Consider the following 13,407-nt stretch of genomic DNA (forward strand, 5'->3'; position numbering starts at 1 on the left):
AACCACAAGGTTCTATAGATCAGGGAAGACAATGTTAGCCAAATATAGCCTACTCCACTCATTTTTTTCTCTACATCAATATCCACAGTTAGCTATTTATTGGCGAGATCAATTCATTTTTACATTCTTACAAATAAGTACTTTTTTTTTTAACCAAAGATGAATTAAAGTATGATTCTGAACATCATGGCCTACGTACGTGTGTGTGTGTGTGTGTGTGTGCGTTTTCAATTTCAGTCAACGAAAGTAATCACATGATCAAATAATAAAAAATAGCAATAATATTTTGAGCACATTTTATATTCTAGCTACTATGCCAAGAATTATATGTGTACTATTTTACTTAATTCTAACAGTGAAATAAAGTAGCCATTTGTATTCTCATGCTGAGAAAGTGGGATTTAAGATGATGCCACATGACAAGATCACATAGTCATAAGTAGCAGATCCAGGACCCAAATTCAGCTTTGTCTGATTCCAAATCCCAGGCTCTTATTCGCTTTCCTCTCCTATCTTCACCTAACGGCATCTATTACGAGGAAGGTGTGCTGCTTACTGGAGATAGAAGTATGAACAAAGTAGTATTTCTGTCCTCGATCAAGCTCTTGTGACTTTAAGAATAGTTGGCCTGGCGCGGTGACTCACGCCTGTAATCCAGCACTTTGGGAGGCCGAGGTGGGCAGATCAGGAGGTCAGGAGATCAAGATCATCCTGGGTAGCTGGGATTATAGGCACCCCCCACTATGCCTAGCTAATTTTCGTGTCTTCAGTGGAGACGGGGTTTTACCATGTTGGCCGGGCTGCTCTTGAACTCCTGACGTCAGGTGATTGACCCTCCTTGGCCTCCCAAAGTGCTGGGATTACAGGCATGAGCCACCACGCGGGGCCTGCTTGATTCTATGACCATAGTTTGACATTTATTTCTCTAACTTCGGGTATTACAAATGGCACCTACATTGATTTAGTTCTATCTGTAAATCTGTATTGCAATTAACTTTTTTCTTTAAATCCCATTTTTCAGACTTAAACTCAATTATTTAAGTAGAAAACTTTACATAAAGCCATAAATAAGAAACTAGCTATACCAAATCTATAAAAGGCCAGCAACTCTTACTATAAATAGAAGAAAACCATGAACATAAATGTATTATGAACAAAATAATGTTATTGAATTCTAGCTAGATACTGTGGCCTATAGAAAGTTCTAACTCTGAGGTCTCTTGTCTCTTTTAAAAAGATAAATTAACAAGGCTACAGAAATGTTAAATATTTTTTATACCAAACTGAGCCTGTGTCCTAGATTTAAGAAGGATTAAAAATTCAAATGCAAACAATGTTCTCATTATGTGATTATGTGAAATTCAATATTGCTTAATGCAGTGCCTGGGAGATCAGTCCTGAAGTACCTGTCATCTCACACTTTATCAGTTGTTCATATAGAATATTTTCTAGTATACACTGTACTATTCTTCTAAATTGCCTTAAAAAATAGTAGAATGATGAATCTGATGGGGAAAAAGAGTCTTAGGGCAATCACCACCATTTTCAAATCCTGGAAGATTGACATGTGAGAGAATACTGGTTTATTCTTGTTTGCCCCAGAAAGTGCTACCTAGCACAAACAGTGACATTTTCAAATGCAACTTTTGGCTCATTAAAATATACATATGAGGCTGGGCACGGTGGCTTATGCCTGTAATCCCAGGACTTTGGTAGGCCGAGGTGGGCGGATCACGAGGTCAGGAGATTGACACCATCCTGGCTAACACAGTGAAACCCCATCTCTAGTAAAAATACAAAAAATTAGCCGGGCATGGTGGCAGGTGCCTGTAGTCCCAGCTACCCGGGAGGCTGAGGCAGGAGAATGGCGTGAACCCAGGAGGCGGAACTTGCAGTGAGTGGAGATTGCGCCATTGCACTCCAGCCTTGGTCCTTGGCAGACAGGGTGAGACTCCGTCTCAAAAAGAAAACAACAACAACAACAACAACAAAAACATACATATGAATATTAAAACTAACAAAGGAAATGATCATCACTCAAAGAACTAAACTTTCTGCCTCTGAAAATTAATAGCAGACCATCTTCCAAGAATAATACAAATGATTTCATTGGGGAATTGGAGTGAAATTTAAGATCCTTTAAAATTTAGGATCCTTAAAAATTAAAAAATAAATAAATAAATTAAAAAAAAAAAAAATTAGGATCCTTTTCTTTTTTTCTTTTTTTTTTTTTTTTTTTTTGAGACGGAGTCTCACTCTGTCTGCCCAGGCTGGAGTGCAGTGGTGCCATCTCAGCTCACTGCAAGCTCCACCTCCCGGGTTCACACCATTCTCCTGCCTCAGCCTCCCGAGTAGCTGGGACTACAGTCTCCTGCCACCACGCCCGGCTAATTTTTTTGTATTTTTAGTAGAGATGGGTTTCACTGTGTTAGCCAGGATGGTCTCGATCTCCTGACCTTGTGATGTGCCCGCCTCAGCCTTCCAAAGTGCTGGGATTACAAGCGTGAGCCACCGTGCCTGGCCCTAAGATCCTTTTTAACTCTACAATTTTCTAAGACTCTGTGGTGCTTCTAGAAGCTCAAAGATCACTGAACATTTAAGATCCTATAACTGAGGATCTTACCCCACACTAAGGTTTTCAATCTCAGCACTATTGACATTTTGGACTGAATAACTTTGTGGTGGGAGGCTGTGCTGCTAAACATCTTAGATCCCTGTTTTTTTCTTATTAGATGCCAGTCATAACCCACCCCCCCACCTTCAACTGTTACAACCAAAATTATTTTCAGACATTGCCAAGTGCTCCCTGGGGAGTGTAAGAATTAAATAAAGAGGAGAGAAACACGAAGGGTGGCTCTACAGTCAACAGAGACAGGTTTATTTTAAACAAGCCTGAGAAAGGCTTCTGGCCGAGTTAGGTCAACGCCACACTCTCTTACAGACTGAGTTTTTAAGGATTCAGGGTGGGAGAGTTTATCAGAGGCTGAGACTGCTTCTGTGTCTCTTTGTTGTGCTTATATGGGAGGGAGAGTTGTGTATCTGTTCCCATACATCTGTCTGCAGCTGCAGGCATACCCCCGAGTCTGCTTTTGGCTTCCCTATCTTAGTGCACCTGAAGGAGAAGGAATGTGCTTATTAAGGACCACTGTTTTACTGGGGCCCATTGTATGAGGGTGAAGTTTGGCAGTTACCCAAGAGACTTCCCACCACCTCCCTCTGTGCCCAAGCTGTTTTATCTGTGTTTTACTGTCTGCTCTTTCTGGCGGCTTGTAGTTAGAAGAGAAGTGATTGCCTTGAAACGCATGAGGCTAGAAAGGGAGCTGGAACTTAAAGTGGTGGTGTTTGTCCAAGATGATGGTGCTCCTGCTCTCTCAGGGAGCAGAACCGCTCTTAGTTGAAAATCACTGCCCCAGACCAACTTCTCTGTATGCATCTACTCTTCTTATGAGGCAGGAATCAATATTTCTTGCATACTTCTACTGTTGCACTTAACACATCTAACAATCATCTATTGAGTGTCTACAGCATGCCAGGTACTGCATTAAACGCTGTTTCCATAGCAGTAAAGGAGACAGATCTGCTCCTCACAGAGCCCCATGATGGGTCGATGGAGTATGCAGGAGTTGAAGGGGGAAGAGACACCTGCAGACAGTTTATCACAGCCACATGTGTGCCTGTCGGTTTCTGCCATTATCTTATAAGCTTCTTAAGGATAAGAGTCATGACTTTTTAAAATCTTTCAATTTCTAGGGCTTAACAGAATACCTGGCATATACAAGGCGCTCAACAAATGTTCATAGACTAAATGAATGAGAAAGTAAGAGATTGGGGAAAGGCGAGAACTGGTAACAGCACATTAAACAACAGTGACAACAGCAACATCAATCATATTTAATTGACTAGGGAAAGAGAATAATTTATGTAATTAAGTTTTTATTGCATTTATGAAACATCTGTATCGTTGTATCTTTCCATGCATTTCGTGTTATATTGTTTTTATGGTCATAGTCCATCATCCTAACACATCTAAGAATATCTAAAAATATGGACAAGGCATGGGCTGCTATTCCTCTTTCAAGCACTTTACCTTAAGGTTAGCAAGTAAAAATTTGATGAACAGAAATGATCAAAGTAGGGCTTTTTTTATATGACTTGTTCGAACCAAGCATTTTGGTGTAGTTGGTCAAATGCAGCTTTACTGGATTTTGTAATCAATTTTAGGATGACATGAGGAATGGGTAAAAATTATACACATTAATGATAAAATTGACATTGTTATATTATATGTTCTGGGCCATTAAAATATTTCTCCATTGAAATACATATATCAAAATGTCCCATACTGGGAAATGACCGTAATTAGCTAAAAGGAAGTACATTCCTTATGGCACCAAAATGTTAAATGCCTTTCTTCTAAGTCATGGTGACCACACCTCTAACCTGAATCCATGTAGTCTGTAGTCTGAGATCTAAGGGAAGAGAAGTCTCTAAATAAAAATGGGAAGAGTCATTCCAGGCCAAGTGCAGTAGCTTACACCTGTAATCCCAGGGCTTTGGGAAGTTGAGGCAGGAGGATCACTTGAGGACAAGAGTTCGGGACCAGATTGCATGCAGTATAGGGAGACCCTCGCCTCTAATAAAAAAAAATGCTCCATTATTCATTTCATCTTTTTACCCTTCCTCCTGTGATTCTTAGTGTGAGGGCAGGGAATCTCAGTTTTATATCCTACACAATGCATAGCATCTTACTCATAAGAGGCACAAAATAAGGTTTTGTTTTGAGAGGAAAATGAAAGCATCTTGCAATAACTATTTAACTTACATCATGTATTCTACTATATTTTATCAATATTTATGCGGGTTATATTTCTAATTATATCTGTGCCTATCAGTTAGTTGTAGGTAACTTTTAATCAAAAGCCTGTACCTACCACACCCTAATAAAAACCTGCTGTTTTTGCTGCCCAGCACCCATTCACCTTCTTCTGGACACTATATTCCAAGTTCTCTAGGGAACCCCGCGTTCCCTACCCTGAGTGCCTGTACTTCCTCACCTACCTGCTCCTTAACTAACAGATGGGGCATGAGACCCAGATCAGAGTGTCACATGTCACCTTGCCCCGGCTATAATGCTTTTGTTATTGTTGTTAGGGCTGGGCATATCAGCCTATTGTGGCAAATAAGATGATGAGTTTGGTTTTTGTATTTTTCTGAAACTTTTGGGAAAGGTCGCTTCGCTTTTTCTTCACCTGAATTTGAGAGTATAAAGTCTAGAGCTGTTGTCATCACCTTGTGATCATGAGGAGGGAGACGTCAGAGAATGGAGTCTGTGTGGAAGAGAGAAGGAGAAGGGAAGAGCGGGAAAAGAGGAGGAAAGAGGGCAGAGAGAGAAGTTGGGTGCTGTAGACAGTGATTGAACCTACAACAAAGCTGCGCTGCCAGAAAGAGTGTGACCATAGATTTTTCATTGTTGTTGTTGTTATGCAAAACAATATATTCCCATTCCCATTTAGACTGCAGAGTTTTAGCTGGTTTTTGATTGATTTTGTAATCAATCTTAGGATGACATGAGGAATGGGTAAAAATTATACATATTAATGATAAAATTGATGTTGTCATATTATGTGTTCCGGGCCATTAAAATATTTCTCCATTGAAATAAGTATAGCAAAATGTCCCATATCTGGAAATGACTGTAATTAACTAAAAGGAAGTACATACCTCACGGCACCAAAATGTTAAATGCCATTCTTCTAAGTCATGGTGACCACACCTCTGACCTGAATCCATGTAGTCTGTAGTCTGAGATCTAAGGGAAGCAAAGTCTGTAAATAAAAGTGAGAAGAGTCATTCCAGGCCAAACAGTAGCTTACACCTGTAATCCCAGGGCTTTGGGAAGTCGAGGCAGGAGGATCGCTTGAGGTTTTCTGTCACTTTCAGCCTTGTCTGAACTTACACATGCTCCAAATCCCAATCACATGTTTTTCATTTCATAGCATATTTTGGTAATATGGACACTATGGCAATTTTAATGCTCCATGGGGGAGAATGAGTGATTCTGAACTGGAGTTTTATTATATATAACTTAGCATTAATTTGTCTAATATTAATATTTACTGATTCCCTATTATATGCCATTCCACAAAGAATTCCAAAAACACAAACCACACTTCTAAAAGCAATAACAAAAATTGCTTCTCAGAGATGGTTTCTTCCTTCTTATTAGGGCTGGATTCTTCTCACAACTATAGTTAGTGGGTTTTGCATTTTATATGGAAGAGTGTTACATAAATGGTAAATTTCATTTATATATAATATTAAAAATCATCCCTTTAGAAATATACACAAAGGAAGGAAGTTTTGACACTCATTTATAGTTTTTCAAATAAGTTTAATTTTACCTATTTAAATAATATTGTGAGAATTCCTTAGAATTTTTTTTTCCTTAAAATCATTGTTATGACAATTTAACTTGAGCTTCAGTTGGTTTTTACTTTCTGTATGAAATTTACACCTATCTAAAGAGGCACTAATTGTGTAGCATCTGTAGGGATGATAATGTTTGGCTTTCTGCTAGAGTGGAGTCCAATCTCATTATGGTTTCCAGGAACATGGAGTCTAGGAACATGCATGCAATGACTCTCAGCACCTCGGCTAGCATGCATTGTTAGCTGAGGTAAGCGTCTTTTCACTTTAGATCCACGGTCAGCTCAAACCAGTTAAGCTGCACATTAATAACCTTGGGAAAAACCAATCCTTCTCTGAGATCCCCAGAATGAGAGCCTAATAGGATTCATTTCATGCCCTAGGTCTCAGTTATCAATGTGGCACATTAGAGATGTATAGATTCTTCTATCTCAAAGCAGAAAAGTGGCAAAGTAGCTCCCAAAAATGTGTGAAATCATTTCAGTGGCTTCCCGACTCTACTTCAATATTGATCAACTTGGAGTCCCAGGATGCTTAGGAGGATTGTTCAACAAATTCAAGCTGTTTCTTGAGTCTCTAACTTTTCACAAAGGTTTAACAGAATTTGTCCAACTTGAGATAGGTTGCATGGGCTAAGTAAAATGTTAGACCTGCATTTGATTTGAATTATGTGAACTCGACATGCTAGATAGTTCATGTTCATCAGAAGTTCTGATTGGTAGTTATTTTGGTCTTTGATGAATGAGAAGTGGGGAAATCTTTCATTTAACAGCTTTTATTGAGTTTCTGTCTTGTACTAGTTTTCTTGATACAATGTAAAACTTAAGGTATGTAAGTAGCAGGAATAAGGAAATGAATCCTTGGGAATAAAGAAGTATGGAAACTGGCCGGGTGCGGTAGCTCATACCTGTAATCCTAGCACTTTGGGAGGCTGAGGTGGGCGGATCATGAGGTCAGGAGATCGAGACCATCCTGTTAGCCAGGTGTGGTGGTGGGAACCTGTAGTCCCAGCTACTCGGGAGGCTGAGGCAGGAGAATGGTGTGAACTCGGGAGGCAGAGCTTGCAGTGAGCCGAGATCGTGCCACTGAACTCCAGCCTGGGCAACAGAGCAAGACTCCATCTCAAAAAAAAAAAAGAAGTACGGAACCAGTGATAGCAGGTGACCTTTCATCTTGCAGATGAAGAAACCAAGGCCCAAAGTAGAATGACTTTGCCAAGATATCATTGGCTTGTGACTGAGCTGGAATAGGAACCTATAGATATTGATTGTATGTATTGCTTATCCCTTGATAGTAAAAGTGGAATACCTTTTATTTTATTTATTTATTTATTTATTGAGACGGAGTTTTGCTCTTGTTGCCCAGGCTGGAGTGCAATGGCGCGATCTTGGCTCACTGCAACCTCTGCCTCCTGGGTTCAAGCGATTCTCCTGCCTCAGCCTTCCTGAGTAGCTGGGATTACAGGCATGTGCCACCACTCCTGCATAATTTTGTATGTTTAGTAGAGACAGGGTTTCTCCATGTTGGTCAGGCTGGTCTCGAACTCCCGACCTCAGATGATCCACCTGCCTCGGCCTCCCAAAGTGCTGGAATTACAGGCATGAGCCACTGTACCTGGCTAGAATACCTTTATAATCCATGTTGGAGCATAAATGTACACAAAATAACACAGGTCAAGAATTTTTTTTTTTTTTTTTTGAGGTGGATTTTCCCTCTTGTTGCCCAGGCTGGAGTGCAATGGCGCGATCTCGGCTCACTGCAACCTCCGCCTCCCAGGTTCAAGCGATTCTCCTGCCTCAGCCTCCCGAGTAGCTGGGATTACAGGCATGCACCACCATGCCCGGCTAATTTTGTATTTTTAGTAGAGACAGGGTTTCTCCATGTTGGCCAGCCTGGTCTCGAACTCCTGACCTCAGGTGATACACCTGCCTAGGCCTCCCAAAGTGCTGTGATTACAGGCATGAGCCACCACACCCGGCCCAAGAATATTTGCTTTGAGCTTGCTGTCATGGTAGGAAGCCGGCATCAGCTAAATTTTACTAACGTGCTACCTGATTTGAGGGATCAGCAGTATGAGTAGGTGATGGAAACAGCTGCCTACATACTACTTAAAACCTTCCAGCCAGAAAAATATCTCCCTGCACCTGTCTGGCATAAAACCTAAGTCAAGTTGCAACTCATTCCTCTCGTTCTGTTTTCCCTTTTTCTATAAAATTCAGGTAAAATGTATGCATTTCTCCAAACTTAATTGCTATTCTAAAAAGAAGAGGTAGCTTTCCTCTTCCCTACTTTTCTCATCTACAAACTTCTAGGCTACTATCTTTTGTCTTTTCTATATTTGAACTTTTCTAAACAAACCACAAGGGTGCTAATGGTGATAATATATCTGGATAGTGAGATACGGTATTTTTAAATGTTCAAATCTTATAAAATAAACATATGCCGATTTTTCAAGAGTAATATAGGAGCTATTTAAAAATAATAGACTTCTGGCCAGACGCAGTGGCTCATGTCTGTAATCCCAGCACTTTGGGAGGCTGAGGAGAATGGATCACTTGAGGCCAGAAGTTCGAGACCAGCCTGGTTACCATGGTGAAACCCCATCTCTACTAAAAACACAAACATTACCCGGGTATGGTAGCAGGTGCCTGCAGTCTCAGCTACTGGGAAGGCTGAGGCAGAAGAATCCCTTGAGCCTGGGAGGCAGAGGTTGCAGTGTGCTGAGATGGTGTCAATGCACTCCAGCCTGGGCAACAGAGTGAGACTCTACCTCAAAATACTAATAATATTAACAATAGACTTCTTTAAAACAAGTAATATCAAATAGCATACTAGAGCATTGTTATCAATGTGTCACTTCAGCATCAATTGTTAAGTGCCTTGTATTATATTCGTATCACTTAAGATTTGACATGTAGTATATATAATAATACGACATTCACTAATTATGCTAGGGAAATGTTACAGTAATACTATGAAAGCTATTAATTTCTACTCCTAGAGGTGGCAGAGAGAAAATATATTAGTTCCATATAGGTAAGACAATATCTGTTTCATACAGTCATACCCACAGTGCTTAGCATGGTGCCTATCATAATATAGATGTCCAATAAATATTTGTTAAGTGAACAAACTGTTAAAGAATATTTATAGGGACTAGCACTATATTCTCATAAAAATGGACAAAATATGAATTGAGCCATCTCTCTATTGTCAGTAAATACAGAGGTGGGATACTCACTGGCATAACTACACTATACAGATAAAGTAGTTTTGGGGGGCCGAGGGTGCTGCCTCTATGGATAGGCAAACCTGGGTTCTCACCTAAGAACTGGAAAATGGAGATCATTATGATTTGCTATCCATTAAGGCCTCCCACTCAGAAGAACACACAGTTTTAAAAGGAACGCATTTATCCCATCTCAAATTTTTGGTGTATCTTTTTTTTTTTTTTCTCTAAAGCATAACAAGCTTGTCAGAGTTTCCATGGTGAGCACAGGGCACCATGGAAACTGATAGATTTAGCTACATGAAAAGAATAAATAAAATAGGCAGGCATTTATTTCACTGTACAATGACAACTTCTCTCCTAGATAAGAGAGGAAAAGTGGCCTCTCATTTAAACTGCTTCCCTGCACTCTCTGTACCTCATGAAAACCTGAGTTATTTTCGATAGCCCATTCTACTGACCTACGCTGATTGGATTCCTGTTTTTCTCAAGGCCCATTATTCCCTTTAGTTTTACTGCAGGCTAGATCTGAGTGTCACCAGCAACTGTTGGAAAACCATGTACAATGTGAAAGTTGTAGATGACAGCCCACAGTGCAGTGGCCAAGTGAGTCATGGCAAAACTGAATGAACAATTCCTGGGAGTTTACTGTGATGAGACAATGTATGAGAACAACTGGACTCAAGATCCAAGTCCATCCTATATTAACTGCACAGGCAAGCCAACCTCCCTGAACCCCAGTTTCCCCATCTGTGGAATGTTTAAAATACATCCTCTTCCTATTTTATAGGGTTGTTGAGAGGCTCAAAATTAGATAATAGAGGAGAAAGCCTTTTCAAACAGTCAGGTTCTATCTAGCAAAAAGGACTGACTGACTAAGCTACAGGTATAATTACATTCATGAGATGAGCAAAATGTCAAAGCTAATCATGCTATGGTCTAGGTTTTGGCCTCAGGCAATTGGAGGTTTAGAACACGATGATCCCACCCCAGTAGTTGGGGAATTTGGGGGCTACTTGGCTCCATCTGAAATAGAGAAAATTGAGATTGTAAGAAATGAAGCTTTAAAATTTTTCTCTATGTCTGAACATTCTCATAAAATGTTGGAAAACTAAATAAATGAAATAAAACTCATCCTTAAGTTCTAGTCCCAATGAATTGTTCACCATTAGCAGACACCCACTATAGCCTCTTAATTTTTATGACTAAAATATAGGCACTAGAGCCATCTCCTGCAATTCAATATTCATATAAATCTATTGAGCACCTCCTAGTGACCAGGGACTGTGTTAAGGGGATGGATACACAGAAAGAAAGAGGACATGGTCCTTCAGAAAAACACATCTTCTTTGGGGTATAGATGAGTAATGGAACAATTACAGCACACCCACAAACTCAGGGGAGGAACACTTAACACTCTAGAGCAGAAATGTAAAGATATCCTGGATAAAGGTGAGGGGGGGTTGGGGGTTGGGGGAGTGGGTGGGACAATGAGGCAGACATGGTGTAAGGTGGTAAAAGGGCACCACAGGCAGAGAGAAGAGTGTGAGCAAAGCGGATTCATAGCATATGGGAGAGTGGAGGTAGCCAAGCCTGAAGAAGCAGCCAGGGAATATTCCATGCCAAGGCGGGGCTCTTTTTTTCTGAAGGAAGTGATATGTGGGGGTGGAGCACTAATGATGCTTGGGCTGTATTTTGAGGGTGAATATGAAAGCTCTGTACTCCCTCTTTCCTCCAAACCTCTGTAGCCAGGAGAATATTTCCCTGGGGATACCAGAATGGGAGTCAAAATTGCAGGAGGACCAGCAATTTAAAGGAGTTGCCACCTCCGAGAGTGGAGTCTCACCCTGTTGCCCACGCTGGAGTGCAGTGGTTCAATCCTGGCTCACTGCAATCTCTGCCTCCCGGGTTCAAGCGATTCTCCTGCTTCAGCCTCCCTAGTAGCTGGGACTACAGGTGTGCGCCACCACACTTGGATAATTTTTTATATTTTTGGTAGAGACGGGGTTTCACCATGTTGACTAGGCTGGTCTCGAACTCCTCACCTCAAGTGATCCGCCCTCCTCAGCCTCCCAAAGTGCTGGGATTACAGTCATGAGCCACCATGCCTGGCTGGGAAGCCAAGACTTCTGGCATGTGGCTGAGCCATGCTGCCTGGCAGTATAGCACCCAGGGCTTCTGGATCCTGGGCCCAGGTACCTACAACTTGACTGGGAATGGAAGTGGAACTATGCATTGCTCAAAAGAGCTAAAATTTACCTGAGGAGCACTAATGCCATGTCACCTGGAGGTTCATGGCCAATCCTTCTGCTTAAGACGATTAATTTCTTTAAAAGCATCATAATGATTATTCATCCTATAAACCACATAGTAACAACATTAAAAAAATCAAAACAAAATTCTCTACCTAGCAATTCCATTATCTCAACAGAACAACACACATTGTTTGATGTACCTTTTCAATTCCAGCAAATATGCTTATAGCTTTTCATGGTTTTCATCGTAGCATAGAAGCTGTTTTTTGTTTGTTTGTTTTGTTTTGTTTTTTTGAGACCGAGTCTTGGTCTGTCACCAGGCTGGAATGCAGTGGCGTGATCTCAGCTCACTGCAACCTCCGCCTCCGGGGTTCAAGCAATTTTCCTGCCTCACCCTCCTGAGTAGCTGGGACTACAGGCACGCATCACCACACCCAGCTAATTTTTGTATTTTTAGTAGAGATGGGGTTTCACCATGTTGGCCAGGATAGTCTCAATCTCGACCTCGTGATCCACCCGCCTCGGCCTCCCAAAGTGTTGGGATTACAGGCGTGAGCCATCGTGCCCAGCCAGAAGCCATTTTTGAAAGCTTAACATTGTGGCTATATATTTCTCCTGTTGTTTTTAATAACTGTATAATGTTCTATCAAGTAGATATATTCTAGTTCATAAAACTAGTCTCTATTTTTTTTTTTTGACATTTAGGTTTTCATTAAAACCTAATCATCAAAAAAATTATTAACCGTATCTGTTTTAGGAAAGTAATACATCTGTTGGAAACATCTGATTGAATCCTATCTCAAAAGCCATTTTCTTCACCTTTCTGTCTGAGGTTTTTGTGTATACAAGGGAATGTTTTCAGTGTGCTGGCTGTCGGTACTGCCAGGAGGGAGTGCAGTTGGCAGAATCAGGAGAAAGTGACAAGGAGCAGGGACAAGTGTAATGACCTCAGCTGCAGAGATTCCTAATTCTGGATCCCTGGTAGGGTGATCAACCATCTGTGTGCATGGTTCTGACGGTTTTCCTGAACGGCCTTTCAGTGCTAAAACCAGGAAAGTGCCTGGTAAACCAGGATTTGTTGGTCACCTTAGACATTGGTTATGGGGGAGCTGAAGGAACTGAGAAGGGAACGAATCATTTCTATAAGCCAGCCCTGTGTCTTAAAAGCAGCAATTCAGAGAAAAACTGCTCACACACTGCAATGAAACCCTCACCCTTTATGTAGTTGTCAAAATAGTTATTTGTCTCAGGTTATGGCTCTGCTCACAGAAAAACCATCCATTCATTTATTCAATAAACATGTATGGAACACCGGCATTGTTCTAGGCATAAGACACATTCCCTGCTCCTGTGGTGCTTCTGTTATTGGTGTGTGTATGTGTGTGTGTGTGTGTGTGTGTGTGTGTGTGTGTGTGTGTGTATTGGTGAGAGGGAAACAGGAGTAAACTAAAAAACACAAAATAAAGAAGAATGGACACAATAAATGCAATGGCAGAA

General features: G+C 40.9%; 1 protein-coding gene across 4 annotated transcripts in view, besides 1 other annotated feature; it reads left to right on the forward strand.

Moving 5' to 3' along the window:
• Positions 1–13,407, forward strand: part of GDA (guanine deaminase) — a 145,262-nt gene that overhangs the window by 20,415 nt on the left and 111,440 nt on the right. The window lies entirely within an intron of this gene.
• Positions 11,209–12,408: an enhancer, noted in NCBI's record as "MED14-independent group 3 enhancer chr9:74761147-74762346 (GRCh37/hg19 assembly coordinates)". NCBI's record gives its function as "activates an origin of replication core promoter dependent on BRD2, BRD4, P300/CBP and CDK7 cofactors, and independent of MED14, by STARR-seq in HCT116 cells {active_cell/tissue: HCT116}" and the evidence as "EXISTENCE:reporter gene assay evidence [ECO:0000049][PMID:35650434]".

This window comes from Homo sapiens, chromosome 9 (assembly GCF_000001405.40).
Source record: "Homo sapiens chromosome 9, GRCh38.p14 Primary Assembly".
Lineage (NCBI taxonomy): Eukaryota > Metazoa > Chordata > Mammalia > Primates > Hominidae > Homo > Homo sapiens.